At 43.6% G+C, this 17,145-nt stretch overlaps 1 protein-coding gene and 1 long non-coding RNA gene across 6 annotated transcripts in view, besides 8 other annotated features; both read left to right on the top strand.

Annotated features, from left to right (window-relative positions):
* Positions 3,295-3,524: an enhancer, noted in NCBI's record as "active region_8699". NCBI's record gives its function as "activates an Ori minimal core promoter by ATAC-STARR-seq in GM12878 lymphoblastoid cells {active_cell/tissue: GM12878}" and the evidence as "EXISTENCE:reporter gene assay evidence [ECO:0000049][PMID:35858748]".
* Positions 4,785-4,874: an enhancer, noted in NCBI's record as "active region_8698". NCBI's record gives its function as "activates an Ori minimal core promoter by ATAC-STARR-seq in GM12878 lymphoblastoid cells {active_cell/tissue: GM12878}" and the evidence as "EXISTENCE:reporter gene assay evidence [ECO:0000049][PMID:35858748]".
* LOC101928143 (uncharacterized) lies at positions 4,823-7,530 on the top strand. The gene is made up of 3 exons (NR_135251.1): positions 4,823-4,990; positions 5,776-5,936; positions 7,201-7,530. It is a non-coding gene; the product is annotated as an uncharacterized LOC101928143 (long non-coding RNA).
* Positions 8,523-9,056: an enhancer, noted in NCBI's record as "H3K27ac hESC enhancer chr14:73926115-73926648 (GRCh37/hg19 assembly coordinates)". NCBI's record gives its function as "activates a minimal SCP1, AML or CMV promoter by ChIP-STARR-seq in naive H9 embryonic stem cells {active_cell/tissue: H9 hESC(naive)}" and the evidence as "EXISTENCE:reporter gene assay evidence [ECO:0000049][PMID:30033119]".
* Positions 9,057-9,590: an enhancer, noted in NCBI's record as "H3K27ac hESC enhancer chr14:73925581-73926114 (GRCh37/hg19 assembly coordinates)". NCBI's record gives its function as "activates a minimal SCP1, AML or CMV promoter by ChIP-STARR-seq in naive H9 embryonic stem cells {active_cell/tissue: H9 hESC(naive)}" and the evidence as "EXISTENCE:reporter gene assay evidence [ECO:0000049][PMID:30033119]".
* Positions 9,576-9,775: a silencer, noted in NCBI's record as "silent region_5910". NCBI's record gives its function as "represses an Ori minimal core promoter by ATAC-STARR-seq in GM12878 lymphoblastoid cells {active_cell/tissue: GM12878}" and the evidence as "EXISTENCE:reporter gene assay evidence [ECO:0000049][PMID:35858748]".
* NUMB (NUMB endocytic adaptor protein) overlaps positions 9,919-17,145 on the top strand; it is a 183,331-nt gene continuing 176,104 nt past the window's right edge. For 4 of the 5 annotated variants that reach the window (NM_001005745.2, NM_003744.6, NM_001005744.2 and 1 more), the window contains exon 1: positions 9,919-9,972. The gene's annotated coding sequence lies outside the window, so the exon portion shown is untranslated. Of the gene's footprint in view, positions 9,973-10,731; positions 10,837-17,145 lie in introns of all 5 variants that reach the window. The other variant, NM_001320114.2, reaches the window with a different exon arrangement.
* Positions 9,966-10,055: a silencer, noted in NCBI's record as "silent region_5909". NCBI's record gives its function as "represses an Ori minimal core promoter by ATAC-STARR-seq in GM12878 lymphoblastoid cells {active_cell/tissue: GM12878}" and the evidence as "EXISTENCE:reporter gene assay evidence [ECO:0000049][PMID:35858748]".
* Positions 10,066-10,195: a silencer, noted in NCBI's record as "silent region_5908". NCBI's record gives its function as "represses an Ori minimal core promoter by ATAC-STARR-seq in GM12878 lymphoblastoid cells {active_cell/tissue: GM12878}" and the evidence as "EXISTENCE:reporter gene assay evidence [ECO:0000049][PMID:35858748]".
* Positions 16,204-16,263: an enhancer, noted in NCBI's record as "active region_8697". NCBI's record gives its function as "activates an Ori minimal core promoter by ATAC-STARR-seq in GM12878 lymphoblastoid cells {active_cell/tissue: GM12878}" and the evidence as "EXISTENCE:reporter gene assay evidence [ECO:0000049][PMID:35858748]".

The following is a 17,145-nucleotide window of genomic DNA, read 5'->3' as shown; positions in this document are numbered from 1 at the left end:
AGCCTGGTTGGAAATTTCTATACTCCAGTGATGAGATTTCTGGTTGTATTCCTAAGGGACCTCACAATTGACCCTGTTCTCAATTGATGCTATTAAAAAACTGGTCTTCAGGAATTGGTCCGCCCAAGATGAAAATACTGTAGACTCTGATTCCAATATAGGAGCTCAAAGATGCTCCGGCTGCTCTATGATCAGCCCTCAAAGTAATGATAGCTTTTTCTGGCATTTCCTTTCATCTAGAGATTTCAAAGTATCTCCTAAACATGTGCCCATCCCATAGGCAGCTGATGAAGCCACATCTCTGACATTCATCTTTCACCCCGGTCCTCCCCACAAATTGGAGACTGAGCTAGATATAGAGTGTGGGCCTCTGATTCAAGGTCTCACACTGAACGCCCACTCTCTCTCTCTTTGCTACCCAGTCTTAGGCAGTTTGTGGTTCTCCCACAGGGCGTAGCTCTGTGTAGGGGCCTGTGTATCAGATCTGCCTGCTTCTTTGCTGTCATCACCTCCTACTATTTACATTTCTGGGTTCCCTGGTGTCTCCGCAACTGGGCTGTGCCTTAGCTGTTCTGTATGTGAGAACTGTTGGAGAACCTCCAAGGATTCTTCATGTCTTGTCATCCTTCATCCCAATTCATACCCCCCACCCATGTGTCCCACCTCCCCCCAGCCAGCAAAGTACAGTCCTGTGCCCTTTGGTTTCTTCTTCCTCCTCCTCTCTCTCTATCCTCAACTTCCATTGGCAGAAGAAAGAGGAGCCACAGACCATGAGCTTGTAAGAGAGAGAGGAGTGGGAAGGAAGAGTCTTTTCTCTTGGGTTGCCTTTTTGTTCCCAGGGAGGGGGCCAAGACCATGAACCTTGGCCTCCGCGGGAGGAGGAGATTAGCAGGATGAGTCTTTACCTCCATCACCCATCCTCAGGGTGCTGCTGACTTGTTTCCGCTGGAGGCGGGATGACTCAGCGCAGACCCTTGATGGGGAAATCTGTCTCAGAGGCTGAAAGGAAAGCAACAGAGGGCCACCACTGGCCTTGTTCTTTAATTTAATTTTCATATCAGAAAGACTTCATTGAGTTTGGGGAAATGGAGCTTAATTCTCCCTGTTCCCCAGTGTTGGCAACTCCGAAAAGAATTTCCCAAAGGAATGACCCTGTCCACAGGAGTCCAAGAGAGATGGGCAGTGGGGTTCCAAATTCAGAGTGCGGGGATAGCCCCCCACCTGGAGGAGACCTTTATTTAGTCATACTCCACCACTGTGCTTTTGCCTACTAAATACTATAACCACCGGTGATCATTATGTGATAATTAGCACAGGCCTTTTTTATAACTCCCAGAGCACTACCCCAAAATAAGTGATTGTGTCAGGTGGCAAGGCTACTCCTAGAGACAATTCCTGACTCACTCATTCATTCACTAAATATTTAGTGAACTACTGTGGGCCAGGCCCTATGCTAGGCAGCCATGAGCAGGAAGGTTGTTGTCCCTGGTATTACAGTGCCGACATGTTGCTGGATGGCTAGGCACTGAGCAAGTTTACCCACGGGATATGTGTATCCAAAGTGGAAATGCAGTGTGTATAAGAGGGGCACCCAACTCAATGTGGCTGGGAGAGGGATAACAGGAAGCCTCCCCTATAATAGTAACTTTGAAGATGAGATCTGTAGGAGAGGCAGGAGCTAGCAAATGGAATCCAACTTAGGGTAAACCTATGCTATTTGTATGAGTTCCCCAAAACTTAAAGTTAAACCCAAAGTTGCCTCTTCATATAAACCCTCCAAAGTAACTAATAGGCTATGCCAGCTACAGTGCAGCCAACTCTACTTCCGTACAACGTGATGCTACTTTGGAAAAGTGTGAAATCCTACTTAAGTGGAAGGTGTAATTATTGCAGAGTATTTCAGGGAGGAAGATGGCACCAGGGAAATAGGCATGAAAATCAGGTTCTTCTATTATTTCCACAACCTGGTCTAATTCTCCATGCCCTTGGGATGGCCTGGGTCTGTGATAGGAAATATGTTTTTCTGTCTCTATTTGAGCAACAACATCCTTCTTATCAGCTGCTCCAATGAGGAAGACACTGATGTCCTTTTGCAGGAAACTAACAGGAAAAGAAAGAAAGCTTACCACTAAATACACATCCTGAGGGTGAAATGAAATGACTGCAGTGTAGGAAAGGGCTGAATAAATAAATACACCATTCCTATTGTATAGTCAGACTTCCTGGGGGCGAGTCCTCATCTCTTTACCCTGTCTTTCCCTTCTAAAATCCGCTAACCTGCCAAGGGACCGAACAAAGTTTTCTCTGGCTATTAACAGGTATGGAAACATACAAGTCTCCTCTGTCCCAGACACAGAGGAAACACAGAATAGAGAATAGGAAGGAGAGAAAACCAGAGCCACAGGAAGAGGAACTTGATATTGGTGTACATCTCCCCTTCATGTTTACAGAACTTTCCCAGCAACTTCTGCTTTGAGCCTTTCTGTGTACAAATCTGGTAATGTTTGGGAACATTTCGGGAGAGGAAAGGGCCAGGGCTAGTGCAGCTCAGAAAATCATCCGAACTCTTTAAATCACAGCTGCACAGGTGACTTGATTTAGAGGGAGAGGTGTAAACTGTCATTATCTGTGAATACTGAGCTCTAATCCTGTAGAGCTGCAGTGGAGACTGCTAGAGAAGATGATTCCTGATCTGAAAACAATTCCAGCCTGGAGGATCCTAAGGCATTTCCTTGTAAGGGTAGTTTTCTTCTGTGCGGAAAAGAAATGAAAGAACATGTGCAAATATGGGTGGGAGAAGAAGAAACAGAGACAGAGAGAGAGAGAGACAGATAAGTTGCAAAAACTTGGATCTTTGTATTTCTTTCTTTTCTTTTTCTTTTCTTTTCTTTTCTTTTTTCTTTTTTTTTTTTTTTTTTGAGACAGAGTTTCTTCTTTCTTGTTGCCCAGGCTGGAGTGCAATGGTGCTATCTCGGCTCACCGCAACCTCCGCCTCTCGGGTTTAAGTGATTCTCCTGCCTCAGCCTCCCAAGTAGCTGGGATTACAGGCATGAGCCACCGCACCCGGCCTGGATCTTTGTATTTCTACGGTGTTTTTAGTTTAAGGATCATTTACACTTTAGGAGGTTTTTGTTTTTTCTGTCTTTCTTATGTAATAATTATGGGTGAGCCCTGAGAAATGACTCAAAGCAAAAATAATGGGGTTTTCTTGATTATAGTTCCTCATTTTTCCTGGCCACAGGCCAACCCTCAATATCCTCCACCTTTATAAGGAAGACAGCTTCAACCCAGCCCTAAAGGGTGACTCCAGCCTCTTATGATCTTTCTTTCATGTTGCAAACTGGACTCTCTTCTTCCAACTTTCTAATTGCAAAATTGCTCTTTATTTTTATGGGTTCTTATTACTTCCAACCCAGGTGTGAAAATGTCTTCTTGGACACCCTTATCCCATCTGTAGGGCCTGTGTAGGTCCCTCTTTCTCTCATTCTTAGTTGAGGATTGACTGAGTAGACTGCACAATGATGACCATATTTTAAAAGGGACAAAGGTCACATAGCGAAGTCTCTGTTCATTCTCCCAGGCACAATCCCTTCTGTCTGGATTCTGGTTGGGGCCAGGCTCAGACTTTTGTGCATATAGGAGGTGCTGCCATAATTAGCCCATTTTGCTGGTTTTGTGCATACCCTTCTTGGTATAGGGCAGGCAGGAAATTAGACTGTGTTATGGATTTGGTGGTCATATTTTATGAACCCCAAATCTAGAATTGTGCTCTGGTGAGTATAGGGTGCTAATGGAAAAACTGAACAAAACATATGGAAATAAGGCCACCCTGGAAAAGTAATGAGAGTTCATAGTATTTCCTTCCAGTAGCTTGGAGAGAATATCAAATATCACATGTTTATTAATAATGTTGGTTTTTTTTTTGAGATGGAGTCTCGCTCTGTTGCCCAGACTGGAGTGCAGTGGCGTGATCTCTGCTCACTGCAAGCTCCGCCTCCTGAGTTCATGCCATTCTCCTGCTTCAGCCTTCTGAGTAGCTGGGACAACAGGTGTCCGCCACCATGCCCAATTAATTTTTTTGTATTTGTAGAGATGGGGTTTCACCGTGTTAGCTAGGATGGTCTCGATCTCCTGACCTTGTGATCCGCCCGCCTTGGCCTCCCAAAGTGCTGGGATTACAGGCGTGAGCTACCGTGCCCGGCTATTAATAATGTTAACAATAACTAATGATTATTGAGCATTTACTACATGTCAGGTCCTGAATTATGTATATTATTTCATTTACTCCTCATAAAAGGGTTCCTTCTAGGAGCTAGGGGAGAAAACCAGCCATTATATAGTCAATAATAATATTAATGGTAATAATAGTTATTATATATAACAGTTATATATTACATAACATATGCTGGCCCGAATTGAACATATTCTCTAATTTGATTTTTGAATATTTAAAAATATACACATATATTTGTTTTTTTTTTTTAAGAGATGGAGGAGTCTCACCATGTTGCCCAAGCTGGCCTCAAACCCCTGGCCTCAAGTGAGCCTCCCACCTCAGCCTCCCAAGTAGCTGCCACCATGCAGTCTCTAATTTAAATTTTAAACAAACCCTAGATGTTATTATTATCTTAGAGTAGGCTGCTTCTAAAATAGCTCCCAATGATCCTCTTGCTGGTCTTTACATCCTTGTGTAATCTCCTTGAGTGTGGGCTGGACCTAATGACTTACTTCTAACTCACAGGATGTGGCAACAGTGATGGGATGTCACATCTGTGATTGGATTACGAAAGACTGTGCCTTCTGTTTTGCTATTACTGTCTCTGGTGAGTCCTCTCTCTTGCTCTTGCTTGCTTGCACTGATGAAGTAAGCTGCCACGTTGTGAGATGCTCAACGAAGAGGCCCATGAGGCAGGGCACCGAGGGAGGCTTCTGGCCAACAGCTCCTGGGGAACCAAGGCCTTAGGAAGTGAGTCCTGCCAACAATAACGAGGTGAGTGAGGCAGGAAGCAGATCTGTCCCAACTGAGCTTGAGATGACTGTGGTCTTATAAGAGACCCAATGCCAGAGAGTTGACCCACAGAAACTGAGACGATAAACGTTCTTTTAAGCTACTGAGTTTTGGGGTAATTTGTTATGCAAGACAAGATAGCTAATATGTATCTCATTTTATAGATGAAGAAAATGAAGCTTTAGGGTGATGAATCAATGTTCCCCAAATTACACAGTTGGTAAATGGCAGAGCCAAAGCTTTTGGAACATACTAAGTTCGAGGTTCTAGGGTCTGAGTTTAAGTCTGCTTTCTCATGAGGTTCCAAGTGATTGGGACACTGCAGTTCTGGAAGAATTCTACTCTCTGAAATCCTTGGAGGATAGCCATGTTTCCAGGAAACTCTTTGTGTGCATAAAAACAGAGATGGACAAAAGTTTAAATGGTGCTAAGTGCTTTGAGTCGGTCCACTCCCTGCTGCAGAAGAATGGCTGATCCACCCATAGATCTGGTGATAGTAACCAGGAGCTCCAGTCAATAGCACAATGGCAGAACTCAGAGCTACAGCCCATCCATTTTTACAAGCGCTCAAGCCATATTATGTAAAGCAGGCGGAAGGGGGCATACACTTTTCTTGAGGATGAAAATGAATGCATTTAGTAATGAAAATGCATAGTGTGGTATTTAAAAATTACATGAGCTCTGGAATCAAATAACAAATGGTTCTGCCTGAGAGACCAGAACACCTTCTTTCACTGATTTTTTTTTCCTTCCCATCCCTGAAACAGAGCCTTGAACTTTGAAACCACAGTACCTTGTTCCAGCGTGGAAAGCAGCGTGGCACTTCCCGGTGGTGAAAGCACCCCAGCTTGAAAGGGTGAAAACACCTTCTCCCAGATAGTCTCCCTTTGTTTAGCCAGTGCTTTTGCCTTAAGGAAATCAAATGAAGGTATGCTCCTTGGTTGGCTGCTGAATCTGTCCTTCCTTGTCAGCTTTGCCCAGAGCAGCAGGCTTTGAGCTCTGGGAGGATTTCCAGGTGGCAGCAGAACAACGGTCCCATAGGCTGGAGCCTGGCACGCTTTCCCTTTTAACCAGTGGCAGAGGCTGCACTTTGCTGGTGTAATTATGCAACCTAGTGTAAAGTCCACATGGGTGGGGATAGGGGGTAGGCAAGGCAGGACTGTAAGCTGGCTCAGCACTCTGATTGGGTTTTTTGACTGTTTTTCTAGCTTTTCTTACCCTTTTCTCTCCTGCCCCCTCATCTCCTCCTCTTCCCTCCTTTTCCCTCCCCTTCTCTCTAATCCCTTCATCTTTGTCAGCCTCCACCCTCAGGGATCCCTAACTCAGGAAGCTACCTCTTATCAAATATTTTGGCTTGCCTCCAACTGCTAGTGGCAGGCAGTTCTGGCCCTTGTCTGCTATCTGAGCGATTTTCTTCTCCACCGGTTGTTTATTTCTCTAATCTAGTTGGAATTGGAATCGTGTGTAGAATCCAGAGGAAGAAAATCCAAAAGCAAAAAATGGATCCTTTCCCTAGTGAGATTGCCCCTGTGGGCTAAAATAGAAATGGAAAGAGACTTGGATTCTTTTCCCTTGAAAAGTGACATTATGAAAGAGCAGGAGAAACAGCATTAGTGTACAGGAAAGCCCAAGGCACACTATATCACTCCTCAGATATTGGACATCACTCTGAGTCCTCTATTTTCTGCTTAATTGGGATTATAAATGCTATTTTTGCCCCGAATGTACCTGCCATCTTGGTCGTGCCCAAGTGGCTCTGAACAGATACCATCTGCAGGACCTCCACAGCCAGCCATGCAACAGGAAGCTGCAGACTCCCAGACTCCAGTGTTCTTGTTTTCTGAGAGGGAGCCCTGAGAATGGTAGAGAAGCAAAAAACACAGGAAAGAAAAGAAAAAAGCTGGATGGAGTAATTACATGATAGGGTTACCTTGTGCACGTGAAAGCAAAATGTAGGGATACAAGCAATAACCCCTCCGGTACTGCACAGTCTTTGATAACACAATAGCCTTCTGTTATTTCAAGGCATGTTCCTTGAAACCTTCCTTAAGGTTTTCCCACTACTTACTGGGTTGTAACATATTTATTTTATATGTCCTTTCTTAACTGATATTCACAAAGAATAGGAATGATAGATGTGTGTATATGAGCAAAAGCATTTATACATGCTTTCTTTTTTTTTTTTTTTTTAGTGTATGAAATAGCGGCTGACTTTTGTGACAATTTTCCACCCAGTTTTGTGATAGTAATTTCGCTGCATTCTTCAACTTAGATGGCAAGTCCTCTTAGCAAGGCTGGCCTAATTCTATGTTTTCTATGGCACCTAGTCACTATGGCTGTGCAAGAGCCATTATTACCCAAAGTACCATAATAATGGTCATGTCCTCCTATGACGTTATTGTTTCCTATCTGTCAGGACATTAATTGTCTTCTAACTTGCTCTAAAATTGGTAGCATGGCACACTGCCAAGACTAGAGAGAAGCAAGCTGCTGGTGATATATTAAAAGGCTGTGTAAAAGGACATATTGGTATTTGCTTTTTCTTGGGGCATCTTCACATTTGCATTACTTCACATGTTATGGGATGTTAGCTCAGGCTTGCCTTATGTCTTGGCGTCTATCTTATCATGGTCAATGTCTGATCTTTCCTTCAGCTGAATGATTCAGACATCTCTAAGTTATTTTGGCTTTTCCACTTTCCTTTCACAGGCTTTTTGTGAGTCATTGAATTGAATGGGAGGTTATTTCTAAATTGGAAGGTGAGGAAGAGAGGAGGGGGAGGAAAGTTCCGGAAAATAACTAGGAAAAGGCACTTTATTGTTATGTATAGTTACTGGAGGAATAATTTCTGCTTAGTCTGGTGATAGAAGTATGTACTTTATTTAAACTTGACTAAAAATATAGGCTAGAAAAAAGACAATATTTTTCTGAATAATAAACCATACAGTTTTAGACTCTTTGTAGCTTGCTCTGCAAAGAACAAGGAGGTTAGTAAATAGAAGAAATATGAGACAAAGGGTTAGCAGAAAGAAGAAAGAGACAAAGCACATTTCCAAAGTCCACATCCTTGAGGTGAATGCCTCCTTGACAGTGTCTTTTTTTTTTTTTTTTTTTAAGACAGAGTCTCACTCTGTTGCCCAGGCTGGAGTGCAGTGGCACCATCTGCAGAGACAGGGGTTTCACCATGTTAGTCAGGCTGGTCTCAAACTCCTGACCTCAGGTGATCTGCCCGGCTCGGCCTCCCAGAGTGCTGGGATAACAGGCATGAGCCACCGCACGGCCTGACAGTGTCTTAAACTATCCCTGGGTGTTGTTTCATGGCCCATGGGTATATGTATCATAGGTGGGGTTGTGAGAAAGTACATTTAAATCTGATTTAGAAACTGAAAGAGTAATCAGACCAGCATTTTGTTATTTAGGAGCAGGAAAAGTGGGTGAAAAAAAAGGAAAAACAAAAAGCTAATGATGAATATATTTCTAGGAGCACAAGAGTTTTTATAGCAACATTAGATTTCTCAAAAATGCCTACTGTGATTTGTACCCAAGTGAATAAAAAATGCAATCATTTATTCTTGTGCATTGTGCCAAGTGAGGAAAAAAAAAAAACACACACACACACAACCCGGCAATTCATTCAATGGCCCTAATTTAGACTGCTAGGAAGAGGTTTAGAAAAAAAAAAGAGAGAGAGAGAGAGAAGCTTTTAAAGTATCTGACACACAGCTAGTAGGGCTATTTAAGAACTGCTGAACAGAAAAACAAAGTGGCAGTGAGAGGTGGGGGAAAGCAGAATTCTCATTTCCAGAGCATCATAAAGGGTATAATGTGGCCCGCTTATTAGAAAGTTGCTGGCCGGGCGCGGTGGCTTACGCCTGTAATACCAGCACTTTGGGAGGCCGAGGCGGGCGGATCACCTGAGGTTGGGAGTTCGAGACTAGCCTGACCAACATGGAGAAACCCCGTCTCATGCCTATAATCCCAGCTACTCGGGAGGCTAAGGCAGAAGAATCGCTTGAACCTGGGAGGCGTAGGTTGCGATGAGCCGAGATAGCACCATTGCACTCCAGCCTGGGCAACAAGAGAGAAACTCCGTCTCACAGAAAAAAAAAAAAAAAAAAAAAGTTGCTAATGGCTGTCTGGTCAATTGGCAGGGGTCAGCCAGGAGTGGATCTGGAAGCTGGAGAACTCTCAATACGCCACTTCAGTTTATTGACGACATTTATAATTGCAACCGAAGTTGACTGATTTCTGCTAAATGAAAGTTTGCGCTTTGCCCTTTAGCATTGAGGCTCCTGGAAAGAACTTCAATGAAATTGGATGCATTGAGACCAAAGAAAAGAAGGGGACATTTTTATCTCTCTGATACCTTTCTCCCCAGGGCTTGGAAACACTTCTTAAACACAACCTCTAATGTTGGTGTTTTGTAAGTACTACCCCTATGAATAAAGCTAGCAGAGATAAGCTTCTCCTTGCAGGAAGTGAGCTGGAGAAGTGGAAAAGTTTACAGAGAAAACTCTACAACAAAGACTTAACCCTTCCCGGGTAACCACGAATGTGAGCGTCTGCCCCTCCTTTGCTTTCTACTGCGCAACCAAACTGTGCACAAGCGTGAATCAACCTTAACCGTCACGTCTCTTGCCAGTTAGCTTAACAGACACTTTTAGCAGCCTATCATAACTTCGAATTGCCCAACCCTCAACCAATTACAACTAAAGCTTGGGCTAGGACGCTCCAGGTCCGGGCGGGGGCGAATACCGGGTTTAGGAAAAGGGGCGGTAAAGAGCGATGACGGGCGGGTATACTAAACCAATCAGAGAGGAGAGCTGCCGCCCCACTATCCAATGGATAGGTTAGAAGTATGAAAGAGGGTGGGCCTGTTGTCATGGGGGAGGTGGTGGCGCTTGGTGGCCACTGGCGGCCGAGGTAGAGGCAGTGGCGCTTGAGTTGGTCGGGGGCAGCGGCAGGTGAGTGCCGGTAACGCGGGTCAGAGATCTGGGGGCCGTCGCGGGGCGGAATCTCCAGCTCAGCACTCCGGAGGCGGAGGCCGGAGGAAGGGGGCCTGGACTTCGGGTCGGGGCCCGGGCCGGGGCCGGGGCCAGGGCGGAGGCGGCGGGGGCGGCGGCGAGTTCGCGCTGACTGGGCTAGGGGGAGAGGGGCTGGGCTTCTGGCTGCGGAGTTCTCCCGAGGAAGGTAGGCTACGGCCGGACCCGCGCGGGTCAGGCCAGGAGGTCCCTTGGGACGTCCAGCTGCTCCGGTCTAGCGCGCTGACCGGCGGCCACTGTGTGAGGAGTAGGTATCTGAGGAAACGGAAGCGGCCAGGGTCCCAGAGAGGGGGTGACCTGTAACGACCTGCTTCAAGGGCGGGGTGTCTTGGGAATACCCAGGACGGCTTGGGTGCCAGGGAGAAAAGGAATCCGGGAAGCCCGGCAGCGGCCGGTGAGGAGAGAGCGGGGTGGGGGGCAGGGGAACTGGGAGTGGCCCCGGTCCGAGGGAGGTAGGAAGGCCGAGGGTGGCCAGGGTCCCGGGTGACAGGGAGCAGACTTGCTCCAAGTAGGGGCGTCTGAGGAAACGCTCGGAGGGGGTTGGGGACCCTCCTGAGAAAAGCGGCTGTCCAAGGGAGGGGGCTCCTGGAGAGATGAGGAGCAGCAGGTCTTCGGAGGGTCGGACGAGTAGAGATCTTGCACCGCCTGGGGGAAGAACCGGAGCTCCCTGCGCCCCCATAGCTGAGCTGGGATGGGAGACCCAACTGGCCTGGCCGCTCCGGCTCTGAGGATCCCTAAGGGACCAGGAAAGAAGTCCTCGAGGAGTGGCTCGCGTTTGAGACCGGGGTGAGGAGCCAGCAGGGGAGTGGAAGTTCCCTCGGTCGGAGAGGAGTCATGCAAAATGGGACGGAGATGGGCGGAGGTGGGAGAGAATCCCTATAGGAGGGGATAAGGTAGAGAAAGAAAGTTGCCCGAGGAGAGAGTAATGGTTTCGTGGAACTGGCTAGGACAGTAGATATATGAGAAATTAACAGTGGAGCCATGTAGGTTCACAGGTCTTCACAAATAGAAGAAACTTCAGTTTCGTAATTAATATCAAGATGACATCTAGGACCAAAGCAAAGCTCCTAAAAGCAAGGTTAAGTGACTTGTTTTAGAAAAGAAATTTGTTTTAGGATGATGGCAGTAATATTAGGAAATAGGTTCATTGACAGGGTGGGGAATTTGGGAGGGAAAAGGGGAGGAGTAGCTGAACTAAAGGAGTAGAAGTAAATACTTATCAGAAAGAGGGTAGGCATACTCGGCTAAAGTGAAAAGAAGTTTTGAGTTCTAGTTCCACCACTTAGCTAAGTTTCTGTGCAGTTTCCTCATCAGAATACTAATAGTAATAGTTCCTACTTTATAAGGTGGTGGTGGTGTTTTTTTTTTCATGTGAGTTGGTATTTGTAGAGCTTTTAGGATAGTGACTGGCACATAGTCGTGTGTACTGGATTGTTCAATAGACGATAAAGACCTGACTTCTTAAATAGAAGGTAAAGACCTGGCTCGCAGATGTTAGCTTGCATCAAAATCACCTGGAGGGCTTGGTAAAATGTAGATTGCTTGGCCCCACCTGGGGGTTTCAGTAGGTCTGGGGTGGGGCCCAATAATTTATATTTATCTCAAATGATGATCACGTTGGTCAGAGGACCACACTTTAAGAACCACTTACTTTAATGAAACCGGTAATAATGGTAGCAACTTTAAAATACCTGCTAAAGAGACAGGTAGAGGCAAATTGCCTAAAAGATCCTATTATAAAGGATACTCATTTTTAGCCTGTGTTTTTCAAACTGTGGATTGTGATTTATTAGTAATTTATAAAATCAATGTTGTGAGTTTTTACCTGCATTGAAAATAAAATGTAGAACAGAATAAACTGACATTGCATTTGGTAAGGAAAAGTATTGTTTTGGGAAACTTTTCTCCTACATGTATGTACTAGGTCACAATGTAAAGTGTATTTCTTTTTTTGAGTTCCTGGCCAAAGGATAAAATATATTTCTTACAGTTAAAAAAGTCTGAAAGCTGGGTGCGGTGGCTCACGCCTATAATCCCAGCACTTTGGGAGGCCAAGGCGGGCGGATCACTTGAGGTCAGGAGTTCAAGATCAGCCTGACCAACATGGTGAGACCCCCATCTTTAAAAAAAATACAAAATTAGCTGGGCGTGGTGGCGCGTGCCTGTAATCCCAGCTACTTGGAAGGCTGAGGCTGGAGAATTGCTTGAACCCCGGAGGTGGAGGTTGCAGTGAGCCGAGATCATGCCATTGCATTCCAGTCTGGGCAACAAGAGTGAAACTCCATCTTAAAAAAAAAAAAAAAGGTTTTTTTGGGAGTATTATATTCCATTAAATTTCTTCAGTTTCTGATTTGGTTCCTCCTGTGTTTGTCTTGTCACATATTGTGTTATGCCTCTGACTCTGGAACTTTTTTGGATATTGAGAATCTTTGGCATGAGAACTTAAGGGAATCTGAGGCAGAGAAATTGAATGGTGTTTCTCAGATGTTGTCCGCTTTTGTTTCACTTGTGCCCTCTTGTTCACCCTTTCTTTTTTATCACTGTACCGTAAAGCATTGTTTGTAAAAGCCTGAGTATACACAGACATATTGACAGTAAACAACACTGAAATGGACTGACTTGAGAAAATTTCATGTATAGAAAATAAGCAAAAACAAAGTAAGAAACACTGCAAAAGAGAAAAATGAAAAGATATTTCCTTTTTAGAGAGTAAAAATATTAAGTATTTCTTATCCTTACACTAATATAAAACATATACAGATATTTTTAAAGGAACTAGATATACAGTTTCTAGGTCTTTGTAGAGAAAAGAAATAGTGGTAATATGTGACAGCAAAATGCACCTGGGATAGAGGCTTAACTACAAAGTAAATCATTTATTAAGAGGGAGCTTTTGTTTAATGGTTTTCTCCCTTGAGAATAAACTGGATGTGGTACATGTTGTAAACTTAACTTGTTTGAGGAACCTAAATGTAATTTACAGCGTGTTTTTAAAAAGAATATGTATGTTTTATCTGTACGTGGTTTGATTTTTCTTCCATTGAAAGCTAGATGGTTTATATTTAGGAGTTGATTTAGATCTGTTTTTATGGCTGTTAAGAACAGGAAGCAGTATTGAAAACTGAAAGAGATCCTTGCAGCTTTCTTTAAAATCTTTAATCCAGGGGATTATGTAACCTCTTCATTAATGTTTTATGAAATTGTGAAGAAACTGTTGGTATAGCTTTGCATCAGGATTTTTGGTTTATTTTTTTCTCTCTCAAAAATAATTTTTAGTTTTATTTCAGATTATATTTCCTTAAAATTTTTATTTTCATTTGGAAGACTGCAAGGCATATAACCATTGCATATCTGAGTTCTAAAGCAGATGCAGACTTTTCACAAAATAAATTTACTGCTTTTTTTCTGTGACATAAGTTTCGAGAAGGAAAGCTTTTGATTTCTTGCATTGAGTTCAGTGGATTATTCTTAGCACTAGAGTTGTTGTTGAAGTCATGGTACATTTATATAGATCATTCAGTTCTACACCAAATGATGGAAGAATGAGAAATCCTATATGACAAATAGAAAAGTTCATTCTTCATAATTGAGAACATTGAGCAGTTTGATTACCTGGTTTTAATAAGTGGACTTATTATTCATCTGATTATACTTATCTAGGAATAGCTTTGATTGCCCAAATAATTTTACAGTGGGATTTGGTTGTCTGTAGTTGAATAAATGGTGGTTTTTAAATCCCAAAATCCTAACTGTGCTATTTAGTGAGACTCAGTTTCACATACTGAAGTTTTATTTAGGTAAGTGATTTTAAAAAGTAGAAGTTCAATTAACACTAGTTAATTAGGTTTATTTTCTATTTCAGAGAAGCCTTGTCTTGTTTTATAAGTCTCTGATCTACTTTTCTGCTTCCTGCTCTCCAACTCGCTGTACAATAAATTCTAATAGAAATGTGGGTAACTGAAAATCTAGTTCTCTAAAAGTATAAAACCCCTATATCTAGTTTTTTAGTTTGCTTCGAAACTTCCTAAACTAATTACCTTTAAAAAAGTATTTTATATAATAGAGTACTTGAAAAGCTACATTTTACTTTGGACTTGCCAAAACACATCTGTTGTGTGTAACAGGTTTTGATTTCTAGAGAATAGATCTTGAATTCTGCAGATTTCTGAACTCTGATTTTTTTCCTTTTTTTTTAAAAAAAAATTCAACTTTTAGTTTAGATTCTGAGAGTACATATGCAGGTTGGTTATATGGGTATATTGTGTGATGCTGAGGTTTGAGGTATGATTGGTCCTGTCACCCAGGTAGTGAGCATAGTACCCAATAGTTCTTCAACCGTTCCCCCCCCGCCCAACTTTTTCCCTCCCTCATTTTATGTTTTCCTGATAGGGCTGGGGAGAAATAAAACAATATACTCCTTAAATTAAAAAAAAATTTTTTTGCTATCTTATTTTTTTAATCTTGACATTATAGTGCATCCTTTAGTGGCAAAGAAAATTTGTTTAAGGGGCCGGGTGCGGCGGCTCATGCCTTTAATCCCAGCACTTTGGGAGGCCGAGGCAGACGGATCACGAGGTCAGGAGATCGAGACCATCCTGGCTAACACAGTGAAACCCCATCTCTACTAAAAACACAAAAAATTAGCTGGGCATGGTGGCACGCGACTGTAGTCCCAGCTACTCGGGAGGCTGAGGCAGGAGAATGGCTTGAACCTAGGAGGCGGAGGTTGCAGTGAGCTGAGATCGCGCCACTGCACTCCATCCTGGGCGACAAAGCGAGACTTTGTTTTGAAAAAAAAAAAAAAGGAAAATTTGTTTTAGTAATGTAACATATTATAAATTTTATTATAAGAGGTAGAAATACAATACAGGGCTTTAGGATGTATGTTCAGCTGCAACACACAGGTAGTGATAAATAAGATATCATTAAATACTAGGTACAATATTGCCATATATTTTGGAGATTATTAAACGTGCACTTTGAGGCTAGGCGTGGTGGCTCATGCCTGTAATCCCAGCACTTTGGGAGGCTGAGGCGGGTGGATCACCTGAGGTCAGGAGTTTGAGACCAGCCTGACCAACATGGAGAAATCCCGTCTCTACTAAAAATACAAAATTAGCCGGGCGTGGTGGCACATACCTGTAATCCCAGCTACTCAGGAGGCTGAGGCAGGAGAATCACTTGAACCCAGGAGGCGGAGGTTACAGTGAGCCAATAGCACGCCATTGTACTCCAGCCTGGGCAACAAGAGAGAAACTCCGTCTCAAACAAAACAAAACAAAACAAAAAGAAACCATAAAAAAAAGTGCACTTCGAAATCTTGAGGCAAAAGGAGGATTGAAATGAAGGGAGAATAAGGAGAATACTGACGTGCTTAAGGGAGGAGTCTGGAGGATCTACAGGAAGTGTATCTAGAGGAATGAGTGGTTCTTGGCAGTTTTCCTGGAGTGACATATGTAAAGGAGGATGATTCTATTTGCAACATTCTCCTATGGACTTATTTTTCATTCTCTGCAGTTTCTGCTGCTTGTTATTACTCTTCCTTTGTTTTCTTCCCCTCAAGAAAGCATGTCAGAAGACAAGTAAGTAGACTGAGAAGTGGTAGTCCTAGAGGATGAGAGCCTTGGAAGGACCATGTGGATTTAGAAGAAGGCTCTTCTTATCTCTGCTTCTGCAGCTCTTGGGAGGTCCCCAGCAACCTTAACTAGACCAACCTTTCCCACTTGTCCTCTCCAGTGGAGTATGGGATTAGGAAGAGACCCCCAGTCATCTTAAATGCATTAACCAAGGAGTTGCTATATTAGTAATTAACGTTCAGTGACTTCCCCCTCTCTACCCACGAAAACCCTGTTTCTCCCCACTTGTTTGCTGATAAGTTACGTTCCTTTTTTTTGAGACGGTGTCTTGCTCTTTTGACGTGGAGGGAGTATGCAGTGGCATGATCTCGGCTCACTGCAGCCTCAACATTCTGGGCTCAGGTGATCCTTCTGCCTCAGCCTCTCCAGTTGCTGGGACTACAGGCTGCCCAGTTTTGTTTTGTTTTGTTTTGTTTTTGAGACAGAGTTTCGTTCTCGTTGCCCAGGCTGGAGTACAATGGCACAATTTTAGCTCACCGCAACCTCCACTTCCTGGGTTCAGGTGATTCTCCTGCCTCATCCTCCCTAGTAGCTGGGATTACAGGTGTGCACTACCACACCCCGCTAATTTTTGCATTTTTAGTAGAGATGAGGTTTCACCATTTTGGTCAGGCTGGTCTTGAACTCCTGGTCTCAGGTGATCCATCCACCCTGGCCTCCCAAAGTTCTGGGATTCCAGGCGTGAGCCACCACGCCTGGCCAGTTTTTTTTTTGGGGGGTAGAGACAGGGTCTTGTTAAACTCCTAAACTCAGGCAGTCCTCCCAAAGTGTTGGGATTACAGGCATGAGCTACCGTGCTCAGGCTATCTTACGTTCTTTTAACCAAGATCAAAGTCTTCAATTACCTGAGTAGGACAGCAAAATCTTAATTATGGTAACTTGATTATATTAAGGTGAATTATAGTTAATTTGGAACATTTCTAGTTTAATTAGGGAAGAAGAGGGAAAAACTGTAGAATACTGCTTAGCTCTGAATAAAGGCAAAGCTGGGGCAACCAGGGACACAGAAATCAGCTAAATTTGTAACTTTATTTAAGATTGGCCTTGGTTACCTTTGACTTTGGAAAAGTAATAGTGATACTTTCGTCTAGTCACTTGTGCATATGTACATCTCAGGTACATTTTGATTTTATCATGTAGATAATTTGTGAAGGTTTATTTACTTAATTTATTTTATTTAAAGATGCCCAGGCTGGAGTGCAGTGGCACAATCTCGGCTCACTGAAATCTCCACCTCCCAGGTTCAAGCAATTGTCCTGCGTCAGGCTACCGAGTAGCTGGGACTACAGGGGCATGCCACTATGCCTGGCTAATTTTTGTTGTAGGTTTTTTTTTTTTTTTTTTAGACGGTGTCTCCTCTGTTGCCCAGGCTGGAGTGCAGTGGCTCAATCTTGGCTCACTGCAACCTCCGCCTTGTGGGTTCAAGTAATTCTCCTGCTTTAGCCTCCCGAATAGCTGG

Source organism: Homo sapiens, chromosome 14, assembly GCF_000001405.40.
Source record: "Homo sapiens chromosome 14, GRCh38.p14 Primary Assembly".
In the NCBI taxonomy this organism is placed as follows: Eukaryota; Metazoa; Chordata; class Mammalia; order Primates; family Hominidae; genus Homo; species Homo sapiens.
This window is presented reverse-complemented; position numbering and strand designations above follow the sequence as displayed.